The 24203-nt window shown below is 36.5% G+C and overlaps 1 protein-coding gene across 4 annotated transcripts in view; it reads left to right on the plus strand.

Moving 5' to 3' along the window:
* The window catches only part of CDK14 (cyclin dependent kinase 14), a 614270-nt gene that overhangs the window by 263817 nt on the left and 326250 nt on the right, over positions 1-24203 (plus strand). For all 4 annotated transcript variants that reach the window (NM_001287135.2, NM_012395.3, NM_001287136.1 and 1 more), the window contains one exon: positions 3038-3132. In NM_001287135.2, coding sequence (NP_001274064.1) covers positions 3038-3132 — 95 coding nt within the window. The remainder of the gene's footprint in view (positions 1-3037; positions 3133-24203) is intronic.

Raw genomic sequence — 24203 nt, forward strand, 5'->3', positions numbered from 1 at the left:
GCTTATGAGTGTATAAATGCTCATATATTGATTTAATAAAGGTTTCTGTTACTTGATAGGATGGGCTACTTGCATTGTACAATTTTTTTTTAACATTTTCCCCTGTCTTTCACAGTTCTTTTATTCTTACACAGAGTTAGAAAGATGTAAGACTAAATTCACCACCTAAATTTAATAAATAATATTTTGTAAATATATTTATATCATTTGACCCCATAATTCTATTTTTCACAATTATTATAAGGAGATAATCCAAAAGGCGGAAAACTAAGTGCCCAGTCACGTCTTTTGTGGTATTATTTATAAACATAAATCTTAATCTAAAATTTCTTTAAGATGAGCAGTGTTGCAAAGAATCTGATTATGGGGATGTGATGTGTCTCATTCCTTTTTTTTTTTTTTTTTTTGAGATAGAGTCTCACTATGTTGCCAGGCTGGACTGCAGTGGTGTGATCTCAGCTCACTGCAACCTCCACCTCCCAGGTTCAAGTGATTCTCCTGCCTCAGCCTCCCAAGTAGCTGGGATTACAGGCACGTGCCACCACACCTAGCTAATTTTGTATTTTTAGTAGAGGCGGGGTTTCACCATGTTGATCAGGATGGTCTCAATCTCTTGACCTTGTGATCCACCCCGCTCGGCCTCCCAAAGTGCTGGGATTACATGCATGAGCCACCACGCCTGGCCGCGTCTCATTCCTTTTTTCAATCAAAGGAAAGGAGGCTTGCATTGAGGAAGGAGTGCAGTTTAAGAGGTAAAGCCAGCTATTCCTTGTCAAGGTCTTGAAATTGCTAGCATTAGCAGCTGGTCCTCTCTGGGTTTTTAGAGGAGTAGATACCCAGAGGCCCTGTGTGGAAACTGAGTTTTATCAGCCAGAGGTTTGGGCGTAGTGCTAGTCTCAGAGTCAAAGGAAGATTGGTCAAACTTGAGGAAGAGCTACTAGGTGGCAGCAGGCTCTTCTTATTCAGAATAGCCACCCCAACCCCTGAGGACCCCAGATGCATGACATTCAGTAAACTTGTTGAGTTCTTACTATGCTTTAGACCTTGATCCAGGAGCAAGATATATCAATGGGGGAAAAAAAAGATTACTGTTCCTATGGGAGAAGGGGTTTGGAGGACAATTAATGATGCCTTTCTGATCTTGAATCTTCCCACTCATACTCCTCCAAAAGTCATAAATCCAACAAGGAGAACAAATAAAAACAGACAACTCATACCTTCAAGAGCATTAAGAGACAGCAACAAGCCTGTGATAGCAAAGAGTGACACAGGGGAAGCTGATAGAGGCTTAAGAAGCTGTGAAAAACAGTACAGGGGTGTGGAGGACTTAATCAAATCACAAGCAAAATTATTCCAGAAAGACAAAACTGGGATGCTGTGTAGTTCATTCACAGCACTGGATGCAATAAAGGAGGCTGAAAGTGACTGGAATTGGCAGCTGTTGGAAAGCATTGCCTCTAGGGGAGAGTCAAACGGTGGTACCTGTTAAGACAGGATAGTGAAAGTAAAGAAGGAAGGAAAAGGGAGAAATTAAGGATCCTGTGGAAATGAAAAAGAAACAAGACAACCCAAACCCTTCTTCTTTCGTCTCCCAGTGCCAGCTGTAAAAAGTACATAGAAGAGGGCAAAGGTGACAGAAAAAAAGACTCTCAGATTAGGAACCAGTTCGTTCATTAAATAAATAGGAATAGAATAAAGTAGCCCACATCTACCCAAAACGACTCTCAAACATTGAAAATAGGGATTAGTGCATTTTGGTTGCAAAAACTCTTGCAATAAGTCAACTGTAAAATTAAAACTGTGCATAACACTGAAATATGAATTGAATATTTGAATTCATGCTTTTTGGTGTATGAAACAAACAAGCCTACCTTTAGTTAGAAGTACAAAAGCTAAGTAGAGAAATGGACAAAAAATAAAATGAAATAAAATTAGAGTTAATTGAACTTCTGGCAAGAATAGAAGAAAAGAAAAAATCAAATCAGAAGTGAAGACTAAATTGCAAGGTACCTAAAGGAAAATCAGATTAAAATGGCAGGTGGTAACCCAACATATTAATATTTACATTGAATGTAAATGGTCTAAACATCAAAATGAAAAGTCAGAGATTGGCAAAATGCATTAAAAATATGACCAAACCATATACTGTCTACAAGAAACTTCAACTGTGTGATATCAGTAGGACTGAAAAGAAAAGGATGGGTAAATGCTAATCAAGAGAATGGTGGATGCCTATACAAAGGGGACTTCAGAACAAAGAAATTTACTAGGAGTAAAGAGGACATTACTTATTGATAAAACGGTCAATTCTCAAAGAAGACATACCAATCCTAAACATGTATTCAGTAAACAACTTTTATAATACAAAAAGCAAAAACAAGCAGAACTCAAATGAGTAATTGACAGATCCACCATTACAGTTGAGGATGCCAATATGCCTCTCTCAGTAGTTCATAGAACCACTATTCAGAAAATTAGTAAGGATATATTAATAGAAGAACTCAATGATACTATTAAATAATAGGATCAAATTGACATTTATAGAACTCCCCACCCAACATCAGCAGAATTCAGGTTCCATACCTATGGAATGTATACCAAGATAAACCATATTCTGGATAATAAACTATACAAATTTAAAGAATTGGAATCATACCAAGTATTTTCCCTGATCATAATGAAACCTAACTAGAGATTAATAACAGATGACAGGTAAAATAACTGAAAGAAGTTTTATCTGAATGAAAACCTTGTTTTTCTGGCCAGGCACTGTGTTATACACCTGTAATCCCAGCTTGTCAGGAGGCTGAAGAACGAGGATCACTTGAACCCAGGAGTTTGAGACCAGCCTGGGCAGCATAGTGAGACCCCATCTCAAAAAAAGTCTTGTTTTTCTACCCTTCATTTTGAATTGTTATTGACTTGGAACATGTGAAAATAGATATCTCTCATCTGACAGTGTGCCAAAATTATAATGGTATATATTAGTTGATTGTTATCCACGATAAATTGTTTCTCTGTCCATTTTGTTTTACAGCTTCTCTTTTAAAAGGACTAAAACATGCTAACATAGTGCTACTTCATGACATCATCCATACCAAGGAGACGCTGACACTTGTGTTTGAATATGTGGTAAGTAAAATAAGACTTTTAAATTTAGACATTTAAAATATGAATGAAATTCTTATAGTGTTGTCATAGAATTTCGTTTTTAGATTGCTGTACTGAAGTTAATATTTTATCTGAATACATGAGAATTATAATTTTGTATAAAATAAAGGCCCTATAAGAGATTATTGAATGATATGTATCTTAAAAGAAAAACCCAGAAAAATGTTAACTTGAATTTTTATCAGATATGTTATCTATTTATAACCTATTTGTTACTAGGATACATTGTAATTTTTAGGTTTATTACATAGGATTCAACAGCCTGATGGTGATCATTATCAAAGAAAACTCATAGGCAATAAGAATGGTTTTTTATTTTTGGATTTGTAACTTGGTTTCTCAAAAGCATGCTTATTAAGATATGTGTGTGTGTGTGTGTGTGTGTGTGTTTGTGTGTGTGTGTGTAGGAAAGCCTGATACAATTTAGACTTCAAAGTTTTCCCCCTCACTTGGTATTTCAGCTATTAATTAGAACTTCCAATTGCATAGTACACAATGTAATGATCTTCTTATGTGAGAGTATTATTGCTAGAAGACTTGGACTTGAACTCATAATTAATTCTTCTCCATTTCTCTTAAAAAACATGGTATTTGTGTAGCACTACTTCAGCATTTAACTGTGGAATCGTGAAATGTAACTATGATAATTAACATCCCAATTTTCACAGATGGATCTAAGAACATGTAATTTATAAGACACAAATGACATCGGTGCAGACATTTATTTAGAATAGTTGTTGGTATTGTCAGTGTATTAGGACCCCATTTTGTAATTACCACACTACTTTTTAAAAAATTTGAAGTACTTTCCATTTTTCCTTAAAAAAAAAAAGAATGAATATTTGCAACATTTTTATTTTGCTTATGTCTGCCTGTGTCTGTCATTTGAAAATTGTCTTATGAAGAAGCCGTTTATCTTGTCTATTTACATATAAATGATAGATACATTTGAATAATATGGTAATGTGACTGCAAGGACAGCTAGAGCTGAGCAGTTGCATATATTATGTGGTACCAAGAATGGATGCAGATTCACACATCAATGCAAACATAATTTCTTTTGTTTAATCCATGATTTTTGAGTTAATAATGTATTCCAGCTGATTTAGACTTGGAACTTTTGATTCATACTTTTAAGTATGTCTAGTTTACATATTTCAGTTAAATCTAGATTTTCTTTACTATGCTTGACTTTTACAGTGTTTTGTAGAAAAGAGATTTCAAAAATGTACTTATTCTGTCCCTCAAATTAGATAATTAAAAGGAAGGAAAGTAGCTTGTGCACCAAAATCAGTAACATTGGTAAAGAAACTAATAAAAGTAATGTGAAAATATGTCCTCTAAATCTTAAAAAATAATGGAATATATTTATGGGGCTAAAATGTACATATTGGATCAAGTGTCATTTGACGATTTTGTATTTATGTTGTTGCCAAATAAAAGGAAATAAATTCACTACCCTGCATTATTTACTGATAAAGACTGACTTTTAAACATAATCACTTTTCTTTGTGTGAGTAAAATTTTCCCTAGTCCAATTCTTATGGAGACATCCCATGTGCTTTTAAATCAACCACTTAATAATATGGGCACATGCAGTATCTAGAGTAACATTTTGTTCCCAACTTCTCCATGGAGTTCGTACATCATATAGATTACTCTTGTCTCTTTTAGAGATTGAGGCCAACTTGGGTCATTTTTGGCTTATGATTGCCCTGCCTCTGCTTCTATTGACCTGTCTACCTGTGTTGCCTTACTTTTACACTGCTTCTTTGCCTTTTTCCTTTCTACCTTTCTTTTTCTATCTTTTCCTGTTCTCATCATTTTCTAACATTTTGCTTTTTTGCTGCTATATGTGAAGTTTGATTTTTGTGCATTTTTAGTAAAAGATGTTTAGTTGAATTCCTGAAATCAGCCTTTGGTGAAAAGAACCGCTTCAGTTTGTAGAAATTTCTTAGGGATAGTCTTCTCATTTAGGGTGGGAAGGTGTAGATTTCTCAGCACGATTAGTCTATTTGGCAATTGCCCAGTTCAAAAATAACTTCCCTGAATATTACCTAAAGTTTTTATTTCCTTAACACAAGTTTCCAATTGCTTGTTCTTTGTAAATATTTGGATATCTCAAGAAAAATTAAGGTTCTTACATACCTTAATGGATGGTTTTAATCAGATTGCTTTCCTCACAGTGTCTAGCAGAAATAAACTCTACTCTTCTTGCATGTTTTGAAGCAGTGGAAAGGCAATAATAATTATTAAACATTAAGTGCCTTGGAAATTAGAGCAGATATTAGTGAGCGGCATAAGGTAGGAAACAGGAGGGCACTGTGGGCTTGGGATGAATGAGTGAGGGCCACAGAAAGAGAGGCAAAAGAATGTTTAAGACAAATATGGCCACAATAATAAAACCCAACAGCTGAAATTTACAGTTTTATGCTGAGCACTGTACGGAGGGCTTTACATTCATTGTCACTTTTGGTGCTCTCAACAGCCTCATGGAACTGTAAATACCATCATTTTGCAAAGGAAAAACCTAAAGGTTAGGGAGATGAAGCAGTTATTTCCAAGGTCTTGTAGTTTGTAAGATAGACCCAGGCCCATCCTAATTGGACTGTTATAGCTCCTGTTTATTTTTATCAATTTTAGTTAGCCTAGGTCTTTGGTCAGAAGAGGAAAAGAAAACTTTCTTCTTTCTTTCCATAACCTTCCTTTATTCTACACTTAATATCCTGAGTGCAGATAAGTCCTAAAAACAGTGAAACTGCTTTATAGTTTGAATAAGTTTTGTAGATTGGCCAAAAACCTGTCCATTTAAACTCTTATTTCAATTACAAAATGTGTTTTTAGTTTCCATAAAGCAAACTTGTAAGTTATAGTATTGTCACATATATGCCACTAGGGTCTTCTGAAATACACACACATACACATACACACACACACACACACACACACACACACACACACACACAGAACTTTGTTAGCAAGTTCTAAAATCAGTATCAGTTTAATTTAAAATTTCTAAAACTTAATGATAATGTTGCTGTATTTCAGAATTATTAACATCAAAGATATTTTCTAAACAATGTTGATTTTGTAGTTCTGTGTAATTAATTCATTGTACCCTTTTTTGAGGGAGATACCATTGTAAGTTAAACAGTAGAAAAAACCAATACCCCATGCCCATTAAAACCCTGGATATGACGGGAAAGTAAAATAATTTAAGATTCATTAGATACTATTGTATTTTTCCTTTTGATTTCACAATGAAGTTTTCAAGGGCTTTTTGAGATACCTATGTAATTCAAGTTTTACCAAGTGAAGGATTCTTATTTATAATATGTACATACTACAAATGTATTTCTTTTTTTGGCTTTAAAGGAGAACTGTAAGCCTAGTTGCTTTATATTGTTGCCATGAATGACATTTTAGGTTTTATAAAAGCCTTCTGAAGGCCAGAATAATGAAATAAGTGGTAAAAATTTAGTGATGTGAAAGAATACTCAAGGAAATGACTTTGAAGGTCATTATTAAAGTGGTTTAGCGGCTAATAGGATATTGTTGGTGTAGGCTTTCTTTTAATAGGAAAAGCTTTACAGACCTAAAGTGTTCTGTAATTTAGATTCTTATACAGTTACAAAGTCTGTAGATACTACGATCTGGAAGCTGCAAGGTTGGGAACCCCTTAGGAAATGTGCTCCTTAAGTTGCTCATGTTGCTATTGGGTAACATGTGGGCCCCTCTGATGCATGGTTTTGAGTACAGTTATTTCCAAGGTCTTGTAGTTTGTAAGACAGACCCAGGCAGTTGGGTCTAATATGTCAAACATGAAGGAACACCTTAAACCAAGGAGTCGCTCAGTTAGCTTGAAAAGGAATCTCGTTCATAATGGTCTAAAATATTATTATAGCTGTCTTTTTTCCCTATACAGGTTTAAGACTTGGAAGAGAAAGGTAGAAAATGTAGTTGAGAATCATTGACTCCCGAATATATTTAGTTGTGAAAGTTCTAACAAATTTTTCTTCTACTTAAACAGAAAGTTAAGCAATTTAGTTTTTATTTTCTTTGCCAAAGACAAATAAGTGCCGCATTAACCTATTTAACACCATGCTGAAAAATTTAAAACAGATCCCATCAGTGAAAATAAGAATGCTGATAGCAAACATGATTATTTAAATATATATTGCCATTAAGCTAATAACTGTTCTCTTTTAAATTACATAAGAGCAAAGCATGTGTAGCAGCATTTTTCATTACATATTTAATAATTGTGTACAAGTAGAAATCAAAATAGAATTGTGATTACCAGGGAATAAGGAGGAGGGGAAAATAGGGAGTTGTTCAGTGGGTATAAAGTTTCAGGTTTTTTTTGGAGGGGGGTGGATACAAGATGGATGATAAAAGTTTCAGTCGTAAGTTGCAGAGAGCTACCGCACACCATAGTGCACATGGTTTAACAATATGATATTGTGCACTTACAATTTTGGTAGTAGAGTAGATTTTTATGTTAAGCATTCTTACCATCAGAAATATAAAAGCAAGGTTGGACACAGTGGCTCAATCCTGTGATCCCAGCACTTTGGAAAGTGGAGGTGGGCGGATTGCTTGAGGCCAGGAATTTGAGACCAGCCTGGGCAACATAGTAAGACCTTGTCTCTACATAAAATTAAAAAAAAAAAATTACCCAGGCTGGTGGCATGTGCCTGCAGTCTTAGCTGCTCTGGAGGCTGAGGTGGAAGGATGCTTGAGTCCAAGAGTGCAAGACTGTAATGAGCTACAATTGTACCACTAGACTGGACTCTGGATGGCAGAGCAAGAATTTGTCTCTAAAAAACAAACAAACTATTTATATATATGCATTCACCCATAATACCATCACCACAATCAAGACAGTTAAGGTAATAAACATATCCATTACTCCACAAGTTTCCTTGTGTCATTTTGCCTTTATTATACATATATATTACATATATATGTATATATACACACTATATATATATACACACACACACACATACACATACATACACACACATTAATGGAGTAATGGATATATTTATTAACTTGATTGCCTTGATTGTGGTGATGGTATTATGGGTGCATGCATATGTCCAAACTCCTCAGATTGTATACATTAAGTATATACAGTCATTTGCATATCAGTCATACCTCAATAAAGCTGTGAAACAAAGAAAAGCAACAAACTCAAAGCTAATCATGATATTGTTAGGGATAATCATTTTGTTCCTATTGTGCTATAAACTAGTGAAATAGCCTAAACTAATGTATAACATTATATAAAACAAAAATATTGTATTTCACATGAAAACAAAACTGTATCAATAGAAATCATAAAGCCCATAAAATGTTTTTATAGTGTTGTACATTCTACAAAGCACTCTTATAGATGTTATTTTATTAGATGCCACCCTCAGCTCTTTGAGTTGTAGGTAGCATGTTATTTTTATGAAGTATTTTATCGATGAGGAAAAATAATGCTTAGAGAATTTAAAGCAGATTGACAAATGATTTAGCCAAGTTAAAATGGTAAAGATATGACTTTAGCTCAAGTCTTCTGTGCCTAAAGATGCCAGTTACTCCATTTTAACCTGCAACTTACCTGTGTTATTACCTTCCTAGAGTTTTATATGATGGTCTAAGGTATGTATGATGTTAGAAGATGGGACAGGAAGCTGAAAATTACATACTGTCTTTTCAACTTGCTACAGAATTTACTTAATTATTTGGTTTCTCTGCCTCATACATTTTGATGTTTAAATCTGTGAAGAATGCTGTGATTTGCATGATTTTATGCCACATCTGTTCTTGAAAAACTGTAGCTCTCTATCAATATTTTGCTTTCCAGATTAAGCAGTCCTTGAGCAATTGAACATTTTTCTGCTTTCCTCTGAGATAGATGTATGTGCATAGGTATGCACACATGCAACTTTAATTGAGGGTGATCAGGGAGGGCTTGCTGAGAAGTGTTTAGGTAAAAATCTGAAGGAGATGAAAGAGGGAGATGCACATATTTTTAGAGGAAGAGCATTCTAGGCAGAAAGCTTGTCTGAGGAACAGCAGGGCTGTGGCTTGCAGGGAGCTAGCAAGGATGACAATAGGAAGAGACAAGGTTTGAGATGCAATGGCATTCAGATTCTGTGGGCTTTGAAAGGTTTGGCTGTACTGAGTTTGGCTTTGACTCAGAATGAGATGGGAAGCCTCCAAAGGGTGTTGAGCAGAGAAATTATTTGATCTGACTCATATTTTATTGGATCTCTGGCTGCTTTCTTAAGAATGGACCAAGGGTGGGGAAGTTAAGAATCAAGAGACCAGTCAGGAGGCTATTGCAATAAGATCTAAACATGAGATGATGTCTGCAGAAGAGGTGAAGAGAAATGGTTGGATTCTGGATATACATTGTGTGGCCGACACACCTGTTGGGAAGACTTTAAAAGTGGGCAGGAACAGCATGAGACTGGATAGCCAGACCAGAGCCAAAATCATGCCATGGCACTGTCCACTAAGCACCCTGCTGCCACCATGAGTGTTGGGGCTGGACATTGTCTCTTGCTTTGCTGGCCTTGCCTATCTTTGCCAATGTTGCCAAAATGGGAACATCCTACATTATCATTGCTTCTTTGGACTGTTAGCTCGTAATGCTAAGCCAGGATTGATTGTGTTTGTTGGCTGAGATGAAGTTTCAAGCCCATGTTTTGACTGCACAGGACCATAAGAAAGTGAGTATCTAGCATTTTGGCTATTCTAATGGCAGGTGGGTCCTGTTTCCTGTCAAGATTCATAAAATACCATTGACTGCAGAAAGAAATTGTGATACATATACACTGTGGAATACTATGCAGTCATAACAAAGAGATCATGTCCTTTGCAGGAACATGTATGGAGCTGGAGGCCATTATCCTTAGCAAACTAACACAGGAATAGAAAACCAAATACTGCATGTTCTGACTTATAAGTGGGAGCTAAATGATGAGAACACATGGACACATAGAGGGGAACAACACACACTGGGGTGTGCCAGAGGGTGGAGGCTGGGAGAAGGGAGAGGATGAGGAAAAATAACTAATGGATACTAGGCTTAACACCTAGGTGATGAAATAATTTGTATAGCAAACCCCCATTACACAAGCTTACCTGTATAACAAACTTGCACGTGTACCCCAAGCTTAAAATAAAAGTTTAAAAAAATTCATAAAATCAGAACCTTTCCCAACTTAGGGAATACATTCGGATACAGGGCATACTTCCGTTTTTCCCTGCTTTTCCACCATGCCCTAAGGAGAAAAAGACACCTCATAAACGTCCACTAGATTCATTATCTAGTCCCAGATAAGGTAAATCTAGAATGTAAAAAGAATTGGCAGGTGGTATATTCATGGAACCATTGTTTATAATGTTTGGGAAATCATCAAGAATGGAGATGGGCAAAAGTAATGCTGGTTTTTAAAGGGTGATGGGGGACAAATCTGAGTCTACAGAAATATAAGCTTCATATAGAACATTGGTGAAATTTAAAATAAATTTTTAGACATTAGGGTCTAATGATCTTCATTCTCTTTGTTATTTCCTGATTTCAACAGACTAGTGAACTAGTTTGAGATATTTATGAGATATTTAAAACAAGAATAGAAATCTAGTTGTTAGGAGATCATTATTTTTTTTCCAGTCTTATCTCTGGTTGAACCACTTTGTCCAAAGCATGTTGATCAATGAATTGACATCATCATGGAGAAAAGTCTGTCGGGGTGTGCTGGAGGGCATTGTCCTTGTCCTTGTTCTATTTGATATTTTTATTAATGACTCAGATAGTGGTGGTGATATGCTGGACCTATTTGTGTCATAGCTGGGAAGTATAATTAACACTTAGGGTGATAGAATCAAGGATCAGAAAAGAATATAATAAAATGATGAGCCTAACCTACAAGGTGAATTATCATGGGGATAAGTAAAACGGTATATTTGGTTTTAAAAAAAGAAAGCATCCCAACCTAATACAGAAAAATGGGGTGGAGGAAAGGTAACTTAAAACAATCCATGTAAAAAAAGACTAGTGATTTCTTTGGTGTATGGGAGTATGCACAGAGGAGCTCCAATAAGATGCCAAAATTATTCAGGAGAATTAAAGACATACCAAGAGAGGAGAGAAAAAGGTAGTGTATATATTCTAGATGGGGTAAGGAAGTCAAGTGTGAGAATTTGGGGAAGGCTGGCTTTGGCTTAATTCTTAGAAGAATGCTCAATTATGTGTTTTCTGTAAATTATGTTCACTTCTTTGAAATATAATGAGCACCTTATTGCTAAAAGCATTCAAATAGAGGATGACTAGATTCACATCAGGAATATTGTAGAAAGGGTTCCTAACCTGTATTACATGCATGACATTGAGATATGTAATTTAGGTTATGTGCTGCCAACTGATACCATGACGTAGATGTAAGGTCCCTTCATTTTGCAGATGAGGAAATTTAGGCTAAGATGTCAGATACTTCGTGCATGCCGTTTCCAGTGGCTACATCATATCATCTCCTGAGTTGAGTGTGAATCCAGGTAACTACAAGTTTCCATAGCAAATGATTGCCCAAGGTTTTACAATTGGCATATATAAGTGTGTCCCATGTGACATAATTTTGGGGAACAGAAACACAGCTCATTATGGTCATTCACTTAATAATTTATGTATTCATTCATTCACTTTTTTCCCTCCAACATATACGGACTGTCTTCTCTGTGCCAGGGAGTATCCTTAAGTTCTAGAGATACAAATATATAGACCTTGTTTTTAAAGAGATTGAAGTCATGTGAAGAACTGTGATCTTAGACGAGGTAAACCTCCATAAGCCATTTGAGTTATAAATTGCTGTCACACATCTATAGGTGTCATGGTACTAGAACATATTTGTGTTTTAGTGTAAACAATAGGAAAACTAGATTTGTCTCATAGGCTTTTCTTTATGGAAGGGTTTTTGTTTCATATATGGAGAACTAGTTATGCTGTATAATACTGTGATTCTATATTCTGAAGGGGAGGTTGTCATTCAGAACCAAGTACAGAATGCGAACAGATGTAAACATTGTGGATGACTGAATGTGCAGGCAGTGTAAGATGGAGGAATTCTGAACCATAAGGAGAAATTAAAGAAATAAAAAGGAAACAAGCTAGCTTTCAGTCAGTGCTCTCTTAGGAACTTCTCATTTTCTGTAATTGGTAGGACAAAATAAATTAACTTCTTTTCTATCCTTTTCCCTAATGGCTTTTTCTCATCTAATAATAAGGAATGATGGTTACCTTTAGTCATTTTTAACTGTCCACTATCATGTTGGGTACTGAGATATCAATTTTTTTCCTGTTTACATCATATCTATCATCTCTATATTCTAGTTTTATGTGATTGCTCTCCTTATTAGATACTTATAATCATGATTTGGTATTTAATTCACATGGTCTAAGATAGAAGTGTTTCTGATCTCCAACTGTTGCTATGGTAAATGCCTGCCTATCCACAAAAGCACACAGTTCTGAGTATATTCCACCATAGATCAAACTATTTTAATGAGAATACAGTATGCATCTGATTTTTATAATATTTTAATTCTTGTTCCTCAGTTTATCTTAGAATTTCACCACTTAAACTATGATATTTAATGGTAGAGAAATCACAGAAAAGATAAAACAGTAATAAAAAGATAATTCCTTTGGAAAGAAAAGTATATATTTCTCATGTTAATTTTTTTTAAAAATTTTCTCACAGGAATTATGGCCATATGTCTTAAGAAAACAATACTCCTGGAAAACTGCATGATTCAGGGGGTGGGTGGAGGCACGAGAGTAATACATTGAATGTAATAAGACTGACAATAATTATCAGCTTGGAGAGATTAGAGAAAGCTCCAGCTAAGGTACAAAAGTTGCCACCTGATGTAAGTACCCAAGATCAGGATGAAGATGATCAATAATTCCAGTTACCTTCACATTAAGTCTGAATAGGTCATTAAGTAATTGATGAAAAAATCACTAGCAAATTCAGTTGTAAGTGTGAAAGTATACATTATTATATATCATACAAAACTGGTGGCTATAACTTCACAAATTTTTAAAGTAAGTTAGTAAATGCCTGTCATGAAAATGACCACTTCTTGCATTCTATTTAGTGTTTTTAATTTTACTTTTTCTTCCATTTTATGAATACTTAGTTAATATCACATAATGGTTTAGTTTAATGTGCATTCTATACTTTGGTAAAGGAATATTAGGCCACCCTATAAATTATTCATTTTTGTTGATGTGATTTTTGCTTTTATGCAAGTTATGTATGTATTTAGATTAAGTCAATTAGTTCCAGGTTTCTTATGAAAAAACAGCAGTTTTTACCTTCAACTTTCCACTTTTTTAGCTGATTCTTTCAGTTTCTCTTTAAATATCTAATAAAACTCATTTATTTTCACTTATTGATTATTCATCTTTGGCATAATCTACTGATTCCTACAATGCAAAGCGAGAATTTGGTTTTTTTTCTCATTCCTCCACTTCAAAACAAACGTACTCACCTTTTCCTGCCACCCTCCCAGTCTCCCATCCTCCCAGTGTAGTCATAATTTTGATTATATCAGAATTCAGAATTTGATATTTATATTAGCATGTTAATATAAATCTTTGTAGCCAAGACACATAGTGTACTGTGACTACTTTTTCCTCTCTGTTTCTCTGGAATTAATATTAATTTTCTGTTTTTCATTTCTGTTATTAATTCAGGGCCTCCCAGAGCATCTGCCTGGTGTATCTTTCCTGATTTCCAGGCATGCCCTTCCCCTCTTCCCTGAGCTGGAGCTCTTTTGTCTTCATCTTATGTGGTTTTGTCTTGAGGAAGACAATTTCTAATAGCTTCCTGGGAAAGGGTGTGTGCGAGATTTTTGTTGTTGTTGAGGCATTGTATTTTTGAAAATATCTTTATTCGGTGCTCATGCTTGATTGACATTTTGGCTAGATGTAGAATTCTTGCTTGGAAATAATTCCATTCGAATTTCAGTAAGATTGCTCCATTTTTCAGTTCCATTGTTTCTGTTAAGCTATTTCTCTTTATTTCTAGTGTCCTGAAATTTTATGATAAAGTGAAAAAGAAACCAAGGTTCAGCTTTATGCTCATTGGGTGTACTTTTTCAATCTGGAATCTCATGTCCTTTCATCCTTTTTTTTTTTTTTTTTTTTTTTTTTTTTTTTTTTTGAGACGGAGTCTCGCTCTGTCGCCCAGGCCGGACTGCGGACTGCAGTGGCGCAATCTCGGCTCACTGCAAGCTCCGCTTCCCGGGTTCACGCCATTCTCCTGCCTCAGCCTCCCCAGTAGCTGGGACTACAGGCGCCCGCCACCGTGCCCGGCTAATTTTTTGTATTTTTAGTAGAGACGGGGTTTCACCTTGTTAGCCAGGATGGTCTCGATCTCCTGACCTCATGATCCATCCGCCTCGGCCTCCCAAAGTGCTGGGATTACAGGCGTGAGCCACCGCGCCCGGCCTCATCCTTTTTTTAATGTGTGTAATGCAGTAGCTTTATTACGATACAATTCATGTAACAAAGTTTGCTTTTTAAAAGTACACAATTCAGCGGTTTTGAGCCTATTCACAACGTTGTGGAACCATTACTACAACCTAATTTTACAATTCATTACCCTAAAGAGAATCCCATATCCATTAGCATTCACTCTGAATTCACCACTAACCCCCTGCTCCTGAACCACCGATCTACTGTATGTCTCGATAGATTTGCCTGACATCTCATATAAATGGAATCATAATAATATGTGACCCTTTGTCATTGTCTTCTTTGACTTAGCATAATGTTTTTGAAGTTCATCCATGTTGTAGCTTTTCTCAGTACTTCATACTTCCTTAAGACTGAGTAATATTCCATACTTTGGATATACATTTTATCTATTTATTCATCAATTACTGTACATGTGGGGTTTCTTTTCGCCTTTTGGCTGTTGTGAATAGTGCTGCTATGAACATTTGTGTACGTGCATTTGTTTATCTTCTTTCAATTCTTTTGTGCATATATCTAGGAGTGGTATTGCTGATCATCTTATAACTCTATCTTTCAGCTTTTGAGGGACTGCCAAACTATTTTCCAAAGTGGATGCACCATTTTACAATCCAACCAGCAGTGTATAGGGGTGCCAATTTTATTTACACTTGGCAACACTTGTTATTTTCTGCCTTTTTTTTTTATTATATTGGATGTTTAGTTGTATCTGATAGTGAGTTTGTCTTGTGTTTTCCTGACTTATGATGTTGAACATCTTTAATGTATTTACTTGTATTCAAGAACTTAAATTATTTTGTTACTATTTCCTTCCTTTATTTTCTCCTTTCTCTATTTTTAGATATTTTATTATTTGAATGTTGGACCTCCTGGATTGTTCTCCTAATTTTCTTGTCTTTTCTCTCCCGTTTTCTAATTCTTTTTTCTTTAGCTCAACATTAATGATCAAATTTCCTCAACTTTGTGTTTCACATATTCTATTGAAGTTTCTAAATTTAAATTTTATTATTAATTTCTAAGGTACCTTTGCTCTGAATATTTCATTTATAATATATTCTTCCTTGTTTCAAGGTTGCAATATCTTTTCTTACTAATATTTTCTCACTGAAAATATTAATAATAGCCTTTGTGAAGTTTTTCTAATAGTAAAACTATGTTTCCACCAAGTTGTTATTTTTTTCTTTTAGTTTGTTTTGGGCTCTCTCTTGAATATTTGAGGCTTTGGCCAGATAGCTGGTACAGAAGCAATATGATTGGGAATTCCAGGTATGTGGGTATCTGGGTCATTATGAATTTCACTGTAGGTACTGACTAAGTCATATTGTTGAGAAACCCTCAATGCCAGTATCCGTCTTTCCTGTGATGCTATGAGATTCCCAATGAAAAAACTTCCAAACTCCTGCCTGGCTGCCAATCTTCTGGAAACTGAGTGGGGATCAGACCCCTACATAATCCCCCATTTTAGGATGGTGTCGCTGTCCCTAACTGGTTGGATTTTCTAGTTTGGACACCCTCTGTTTTTCCTTCTCTGGGTTTAAGAGGGGCAGTTATCTGTATAAGCAGAGTGGGGAAACAAATCTAAGTTAAATAGCTACTAAAAAGATTGTCAACCAATATTCCATGTTTTCGACTTCCATATATAGACTTTCAACTCATGCCCACTTCCTGGTGCCACCAATTTCTGAGCCTTTTGATTGTTCTCCGCATAAGCAGTGCTGCTTCTAGGCTTTCCTCACTGCCAGTTTAGTATTCCATTTGGTTGGTTGGGTGTATTTTCTATGCAAAACTTGCTACCATCTGTTTTGGAGCTTCAAAATTTGGTGAGTGGGAATTCAGGAGAATACAAGGTAGATCCATATGTTCTATTTGTCATCTTTACTTTGGAATATCATCCATTCTTAATAAGTTTAAATATGAACAAATGTTAAAGCGTGCCATTATGTAAACCAATGTATAATTAGATAACTTTTTGACGTCAATTGTTGTGAAGTATATAAGTTTTTCTCTTTATCAGTTGTCAGAGTTTATCAAATATGACAAGGCTAGTGGGAGTGAAGGTATTTTAATTAACTGTTATTAGATTATTGTCCATTCAATAACATTTTAGGCACAAGAGCAGTGTCTGAAGGATTTTATTAGAATTTGCTATCTTAATAGAAAATAATTATGGCTGTCAATTGGCTGGTTAGTTGTTGGTTTGTTTTTTTATGATTTGTTATGATTTTGAGATGTTGACACATGTATAGATACATATTCATACATTTGACAGTATTTTAAAGCCAATGAGAACCTTTTTACAGTCTGTGTATAAAGGAATATATAGGGGTAAAAGGTTCTGATTTTAAAATTTAATTATTCAGAATATATACACTTCATTTTTCAGTTTCATTATGTTTTCATTGCCGTGTATTATTAAGATGTTATTTTTCGTAAATGAACTTCAGTGTTCTGAGTTAACATTCAACTTCTAGTGAGTAATTTACTCCTTTCTCACTGGTATATTCAAGCCTGGCTATAAATCCCCAACAGATACTCATGCCTCATTTCTATTTCATAAATTGGGAACTGAGAAACTAACTTGTGGTGGCAGCTATTTGCTGAGTAAGAATTTTCCATCTTTTGGGTTTTTCCTTTCTTCTCAAATATGTGATCTTGGTTTTAAAGCTTTGGATCTCAATTACTAGTTTTTCTTTCAGCCCTTGTTAGGGACATTTGGAAGAATGGATTGATTGATGTTTCTCCCCCTTCTATTTTATTACCCTTTTTACTTGGATAAGGAAGTTAGAACCAGTCAGGAAAGAAAAATGTTGAGTATTCTAGCTAGAATCTTAGGAAATATGTGAGGAAAGCTGTCTAAATCTAACAAGAAGATAAAAAGTCAACAATACTATGGGAAAGCAATATGGGGAGAATATGATTAGTAATAGAATATTTATTAGAGAAAAAGAAAGGACCAGGGATCTTTAAAAAAATCAGATTTTGGCTAACTAAAAATACATTGAACTGAGTGGTATCTTGTAAGGGTTCAAAGGGCAACATGATCATTCTTGTTTGTCATCACGACACCTGTATAAGATGAATGAGCTGGATGAGCAGCCAGTCTCCATGAGAGCAGGGACTAATTTCTCATGTTACCAAATGCAGTGGGCACCCTATAAATCTTTGCCAACTTGATATGGTAATTTTCATAGAATAGATGCATTGGACACATTGTGTGGCTGTGTGTGTGTGTGTGTGTGTGAGAGAGAGAGAGAGAGACAGAGAGAGAGAGAGAATTGAGAGTTATTTTTCAAGGTTTTCATTAAAACTGTCTTATAGAGTATATCAGACACAGAGATATAGTGGCTGGTTTCTCCTTGAAAGGAGGACTTACTACAGGAAGTAATATCAGCTGAATGCCTCCATCTGTCAGCTCCTCCAGCATCTGCTTCAGCACAGAGACCCATTCTGATTGAGGTCAGGCCTTTCCTCAGGCTTCCTATATCTGGTGACTGCAAAACATGAAGGTATAAAGGTCCAGCCATTTCTGCACAACACAGGACAACTCTGGTGCTAGACTGGCCACAGATTTATTTGTCAGCATAATAGTTTGACTTCCTTTGTCCAGTCTTGCTCTCTTTTCCTACATTTCAACTAGTAAATATAATGCATTTCTTTTACACAACAGACATACTGTACATCAGCCTTCATCTGGAAGATCCATCCTGTGTCCAAGACTTACAAAGATTAATTTATAAATGTAGTTAACCCTTCAGTTTAACATGGATTTGTTATCTTTTAGAGAAGTCACTGACAAAATATGGGTTTTGATTTAAGTATCCAAGTATATGACACATTACACCAGAAAATCAGACTTTCAGAGATCAGAAGGAAAAAGTTAGTGTAGTATAGCAAGAATTTCTAGAAAAGTTAACTTTAGATGAGAAGTAATTTTAAAAAAAGAGAGAAGTAATTGAGTGAGTTGGTAAAATTGTAACTTTTTCTAAGGCTACTAAATCCTTGACAAAGGGTTCTGTTAAAATTCAATAAAAATTTATACATATATGTATGTATTTAATGTTCAGTAAGTATTGACAGTGAAGAAACAAATGAGTAGTATTTGCCTAATGTAGAAGACCATATTGCTATTCCCAAATATTTGTATATCAGTCTTCGTAAAAAGAATATGTCTCTCTTCCCTATTGAAGTTAGGCATGGCCAGGTGACTTGCTTTGGCCAACGAATTGAGCAAAAGTTACTTGTTATTGCAGCAATGACTTGGACTATCCTGACTGAAGTATCCCAAATTACTTACTATCCAACCACTCCAGAGAGAGCCGATGCTACCATGTATTATCCTTGAAGACTTCTTTTATGATTTATACTCACATGCATGTTATATATATGTGTGTATGTTTATGTGTATACTACACCATATACAACATATGCTGTTTTTTTAACCTTTTATACCCATGCTAGTGTTGTCATCATTCCAAATCATTAAATGCAGTTATGTATCGTTTATTCACATTTGAAAATTTACATACTCTTTGTATCATTAACATAAAAATTCCATGCTCATCTTTGATGTCATTTAAAATTCTGGATAGTGGGGAGAGGACAAGATGGCCTACTAGAAGCAGCGGTGATTGGAGGCTCCCATCAGAAAAACCATAATAAGTGTGTGAATCCTTCACTGGCAGCCATGGTATCCAAGTTCTCTCATCAAAATTGATGTGAAGGTTTGTCAAAGATCAGATAGTTGTAGATGTGTGGTGTTATTTCTGAGGCCTCTATTCTGTTCCTAATGTAAATGACAGGTTGATGGTACAGCAAACCAACATGGCACATGTATACCTACGTAACAAACCTGCACATTGTGCACATGTACCCTAGAACTTAAAGTATAATGATAAAAAATAAATAAATAAAAGTCGCTGCTATTGTAAAAAAAAAAATTGACTAGAAGGCGGGCATTACCCACCGAGAGAAGGAAGAGCAGTGTGGTATGGTGGACCATCTGAAAGCAACACGGGAAAGGGGAGCCCCCACTCCCCAGAGAAGGGAGACTGTGAGTGGTGTGATACCCAGCTGGGGAAACTGTGCTTTTTCCACAGAACTGTGCAACCCACCAATCGGAAGATCCCACTTGTGAACCCATGCCACCAGGGCCTAGCACCAAACTCTGAAACAAGCAGATTCTTACCGCCTCTCAGCTGGAATCTGCTTAAGCCTATCAGACTCCCATGGGGAGATGCGATCAGCATTGGCTGCAGCTGCCTGCTGTCTAAGCCATTTGAGCTCCTTGGGGGAGGGACAGCAGCCAGCACTGGGACTCACAACTGCCAAACATGCTAAGCTCCCTGGGCAAGGGAAGGGTGGCTGTCATTTCTATAGCTCCAGGCTTCCTCTGCTAGAGGCAGGGAGGCTGAACAGCTTGTTCCCAAGACTTGTCCTGACAGCCCAACCTACCACCTGTGGCAGTCTGTGGCCATAGTGCTTCTTCAGGCCCAGCCGTAACCCATCCTTCCTCAGTGGATGGGGCTTCCCTGCAGGATCTCCAGTAACTCCAGCCAGAGGCTCAGGAACAGAATTCGGATCTCCCTGGACCTGAAACCCTAGGGGGAGGAGTGGCCGCAGTCTCTGCGGACCAGCAGACTTAGCCTTTCCTCCTGGTAGTTCTGAGGAATCCAGGCAGCCCAGATGAGTGGGTTTCCCCACAGCAAAACATACCCTTCCACCAAGGGACAAAGTGCTTCCTTAAATAGTTCCTGCTCCCATGCCACCCAACTGGATGAGACCATCCAACGGGGGTAGTCAGACACCCTATACAGGAGTGGTCCTACTGGCATCAGTTTGGTGCCCCTCTAAGACAGAGGTCCCAGCAGAAGAAGCAGGCAACCAACTTTGCTGCTCTGCAGCCTCCTTGAGTGACATCTCCAGGGACAGGAACGAATCAGATGAATAGGGCCTGAAGTGAACTCTAGCAAACTGTGGCAGCCCTACAGAAGAGGGATCTGACTACTGAAAGAAAAACAAGCAGAAAAGCAACAACAGCATCAACAACAACAACAAAAAGATCTCCACAAAAACCCCATTCAAGGTTCAGCAGCCTCGAAGATGAAAACTGGACAAACTCATGAAGATGAGAAAGAATCAATGAAAAAATGCTAAAAACCCAAAAGGCTAGAGGGCCTCTTCTCCTCCAAATGATTGCAATGTCTCTCCATCAAGGACAAAGAACTGGGTGGGGGAGCAAATGGATGAATTGACAGAAGTAGGCTTCAGAAGATGGGTAATATAAAACTACGGTGAACTAAAGGAGCATATTCTAACCTAATGCAAAGAATGCTAAGAACCTTGATAAAAGGTTAGAAGAATTGCTAACTAAAATAACCAGTTTAGGGAGGAACATAAACGACCTGATGGAGCTGAAAAACACCTCATGAGAACTTCGTGAAGCATACAGAATATCAACAGCTGAATAGACCAGGCAGAAAGAAGAAAGGATATCAGAGTTTGAAGACCACTTTACTGAAATAAGACATGCAGACAAGAATAGAGAAAAAAAATGAAACAAGCCTCTAAGAAATATGAGTCTTCATAAAAAGACCAAACCTATAATTGATCGGAGTGCCAGAAGGAGATGGGGAGAATGGAAATAAGCAGGAAAACACACTTCAGGATATTATGCAGAAGAACTTCCCCAACCTAGCAAGACAGGCCAGCATACAAATCCAGGAAATACAGAGAACACCACTAAGATACTCCATGAGAAGATTAACCCCAAGACACATAATCATCAGATTCTTCAAGGTAGAAATGAAGTAAAAATTGTTAAGGGCAGCCAGGGAGAAAGGCCGGGTCACCTACAAAGGGAAGCCCCTAAGACTAACAGTGGAACTCTCAGCAGAAACTCTACCAGCCAGAAGAGATTGGAGGCCAATATTCAATATTCTTAAATGAAAGAATTTCCAGCCCACAATTTCATATCCAGCCAGACTAAGCTTCGTAAGCAAAGAAGAAATAAAATCCTTTCCAGACAAGCAAATGCTGAGGGATTCTGTTACCACCACGCGTGCCCTGCAAGAGCTCTTAAAAGAAGCACTAAATATGGAAAGGAAAAACCGGTACCAGCCAGTGCAAAAATACACCAAAATATAAAGACCAATGACACTACGAAGAAACTCCATCAACTAGTGTGCAAAATAACCAAATAGCAGCATGATGACAGGATAAATTCACATATACCAATACTAACCTTAAATGTAAGTGGGCTAAATGCCTCAATTAAAAGACACAGACTGGCAAATTGGATAAGGAATCAAGATCCATCAGTGTGCTGTATTTAGGAGACCCATCTCATGTGCAAAGACACACATAGACTCAAAATAAAGGGATGGAGGAAATTTACCAAGCAAATGGAAAGCAAAAAAAAAAAAAAAAGCAGGGATTGGAATCCTAGTCTCTGACAAAACAGACTTTAAACCAACAAAGATTAAAAAAGACAAAGAAGAGCATTACACAATGGTAAAGGGAACAACTCAAAAAGAACAGCTAACTATATTCTAAATATGTATGTACCCAATACAGGAACATCCAGATTCATAAAACAAGTTCTTAGAGACCTATGAGGAGACTTACACTTCCACAAAATAGTAGTGGGAAACTTTAACACCCATTGTCAATATGAGACAGATCAACAAGACAGGAAATTAACAAGGATATTCAGGACTTGAACTTAGCTCTGGATCAAGCAGACCTAGTAGATATCTACAGAACTCTCTACCCCAAATCAACAGAATGTACATTCTTCTCAGTGCCACATGGCACTTACTCTAGAATCAACCAAATTAATTGGAAGTAAATCACTCCCCAGCAAATGCAAAAGGACTGAAATCATAACAGTCTCTCAGACCACAATGCAATCAAATTAGAACTCAGGATTAAGAAACTCACTCAAAACCACACAATTTCCTGGAAGTTGAACAACCTGCTGCTGAATGACTCCTGGGTAAATAATGAAGTTAAGGCAGAAATAAAGAAGTTCCTTGAAACCAGTGAGAACAAAGAAACAATGTACCAGAATCTCTGGGACACAGCTAAACCAGTCTTGAGAGGGAAGTTTATAGCACTGAATGCTCGCATCAGAAAGCTAGAAAAATTTCAAATTGACACCCTAACATCACAATTAAAAGAGCTAGAGAGGCAATAGCAAATGAATCCAAAAGCTAGCAGAAGACAGGAAATAACTAAGATCAGAGAAGAATTGAAGGAGATAGAGACACATAAAAAAAAAACTCCAAAAAATAAATGAATCCAGGAACTGGTGTTTTGAAAAAATTAACAAAATACACAGCCTCCTAGCTAGACTAATAAAGAAGAAGAGGGAGAAGAATCAAATAGGCACAATAAAAAATGTTAAAGGGGATATCACCACTGACCCCACAGAAATACAGACTACCATCAGAGAATACTATAAACACCTCTACGCAAATAAACTTAGAAAATCTAGAAGAAATGGATAAATCCCTGGACACATATACCCTACTAAGACTAAACCAGGAAGAAGTCTAATCCCTGAGTAGACCAATAACAAGTTCTGAAATTGAGGCAGTAAACAAACAAACAAAAGCCCCGGACCAGATGGATTCACAGCTGAATTCTACCAGAAATACAAAGACGAGCTGCTACCATTCCTTTTGAAACTATTCCAAACAATTGAAAAAGAGGGGCCCCTTCCTAACTCATTTTATGAAGCCAGCATCATCCTCATAACAAAACTGGGAAGATAAACAACAAACACAGAAAACTTCAGGCCAATATCCCTGATGAACGTCAGTGCAAAAATCCTCAATAAATTACTGGCAAACTGAATCCAGCAGCACATCAAAAATCTTATCCACCACGATCAAGTTGGCTTCATCCCTGGGATGCAAGGCTGGCTTAACATATGCAAATCAATAAATGTAATCCATCACATAATCAGAACCAGTGACAAAAACCAAATGATTATCTCAATAGATGCAGAAAAGGCCTTTGATGAAATTCAATGTTCTTTCAAGTTAAAACTCTCAATAGACTAGATATTGACAGAACATATCTCAAAATAGTGAGAGCTATTTATGACAAACCCACAGCCAATATCATATTGAATGGGCAAAAGCTGGAAGCATTCCCTTTGAAAATTGGTACAAGGCAAGGATGCCCTGTCTCACCACTCCTATTCAATATAGTGTTGGAAGTTCTGGCCAGGGCAATCAGGCAAGAGAAAGAAATAAAGGGTATTCAAAGAGAGAGGAAGTCAAGTTGTCTCTGTTTGCAGATGACATGATTTTGTATTTAGAAAACCCAATCATCTGAGCCCAAAAACTTCTTGAACTGAAATGCAACTTCAGCAAAGTCTCAGAATACAAAATCAATGTCCAAAAATCACAAGCACTCCTTTATGGTAACAGTAGGCAAGCAGACAGCCAAATCATGAATGAACATTCATTCACAATTGCTA

This window comes from Homo sapiens, chromosome 7 (genome assembly GCF_000001405.40).
Source record: "Homo sapiens chromosome 7, GRCh38.p14 Primary Assembly".
Classification (NCBI taxonomy): domain Eukaryota; kingdom Metazoa; phylum Chordata; class Mammalia; order Primates; family Hominidae; genus Homo; species Homo sapiens.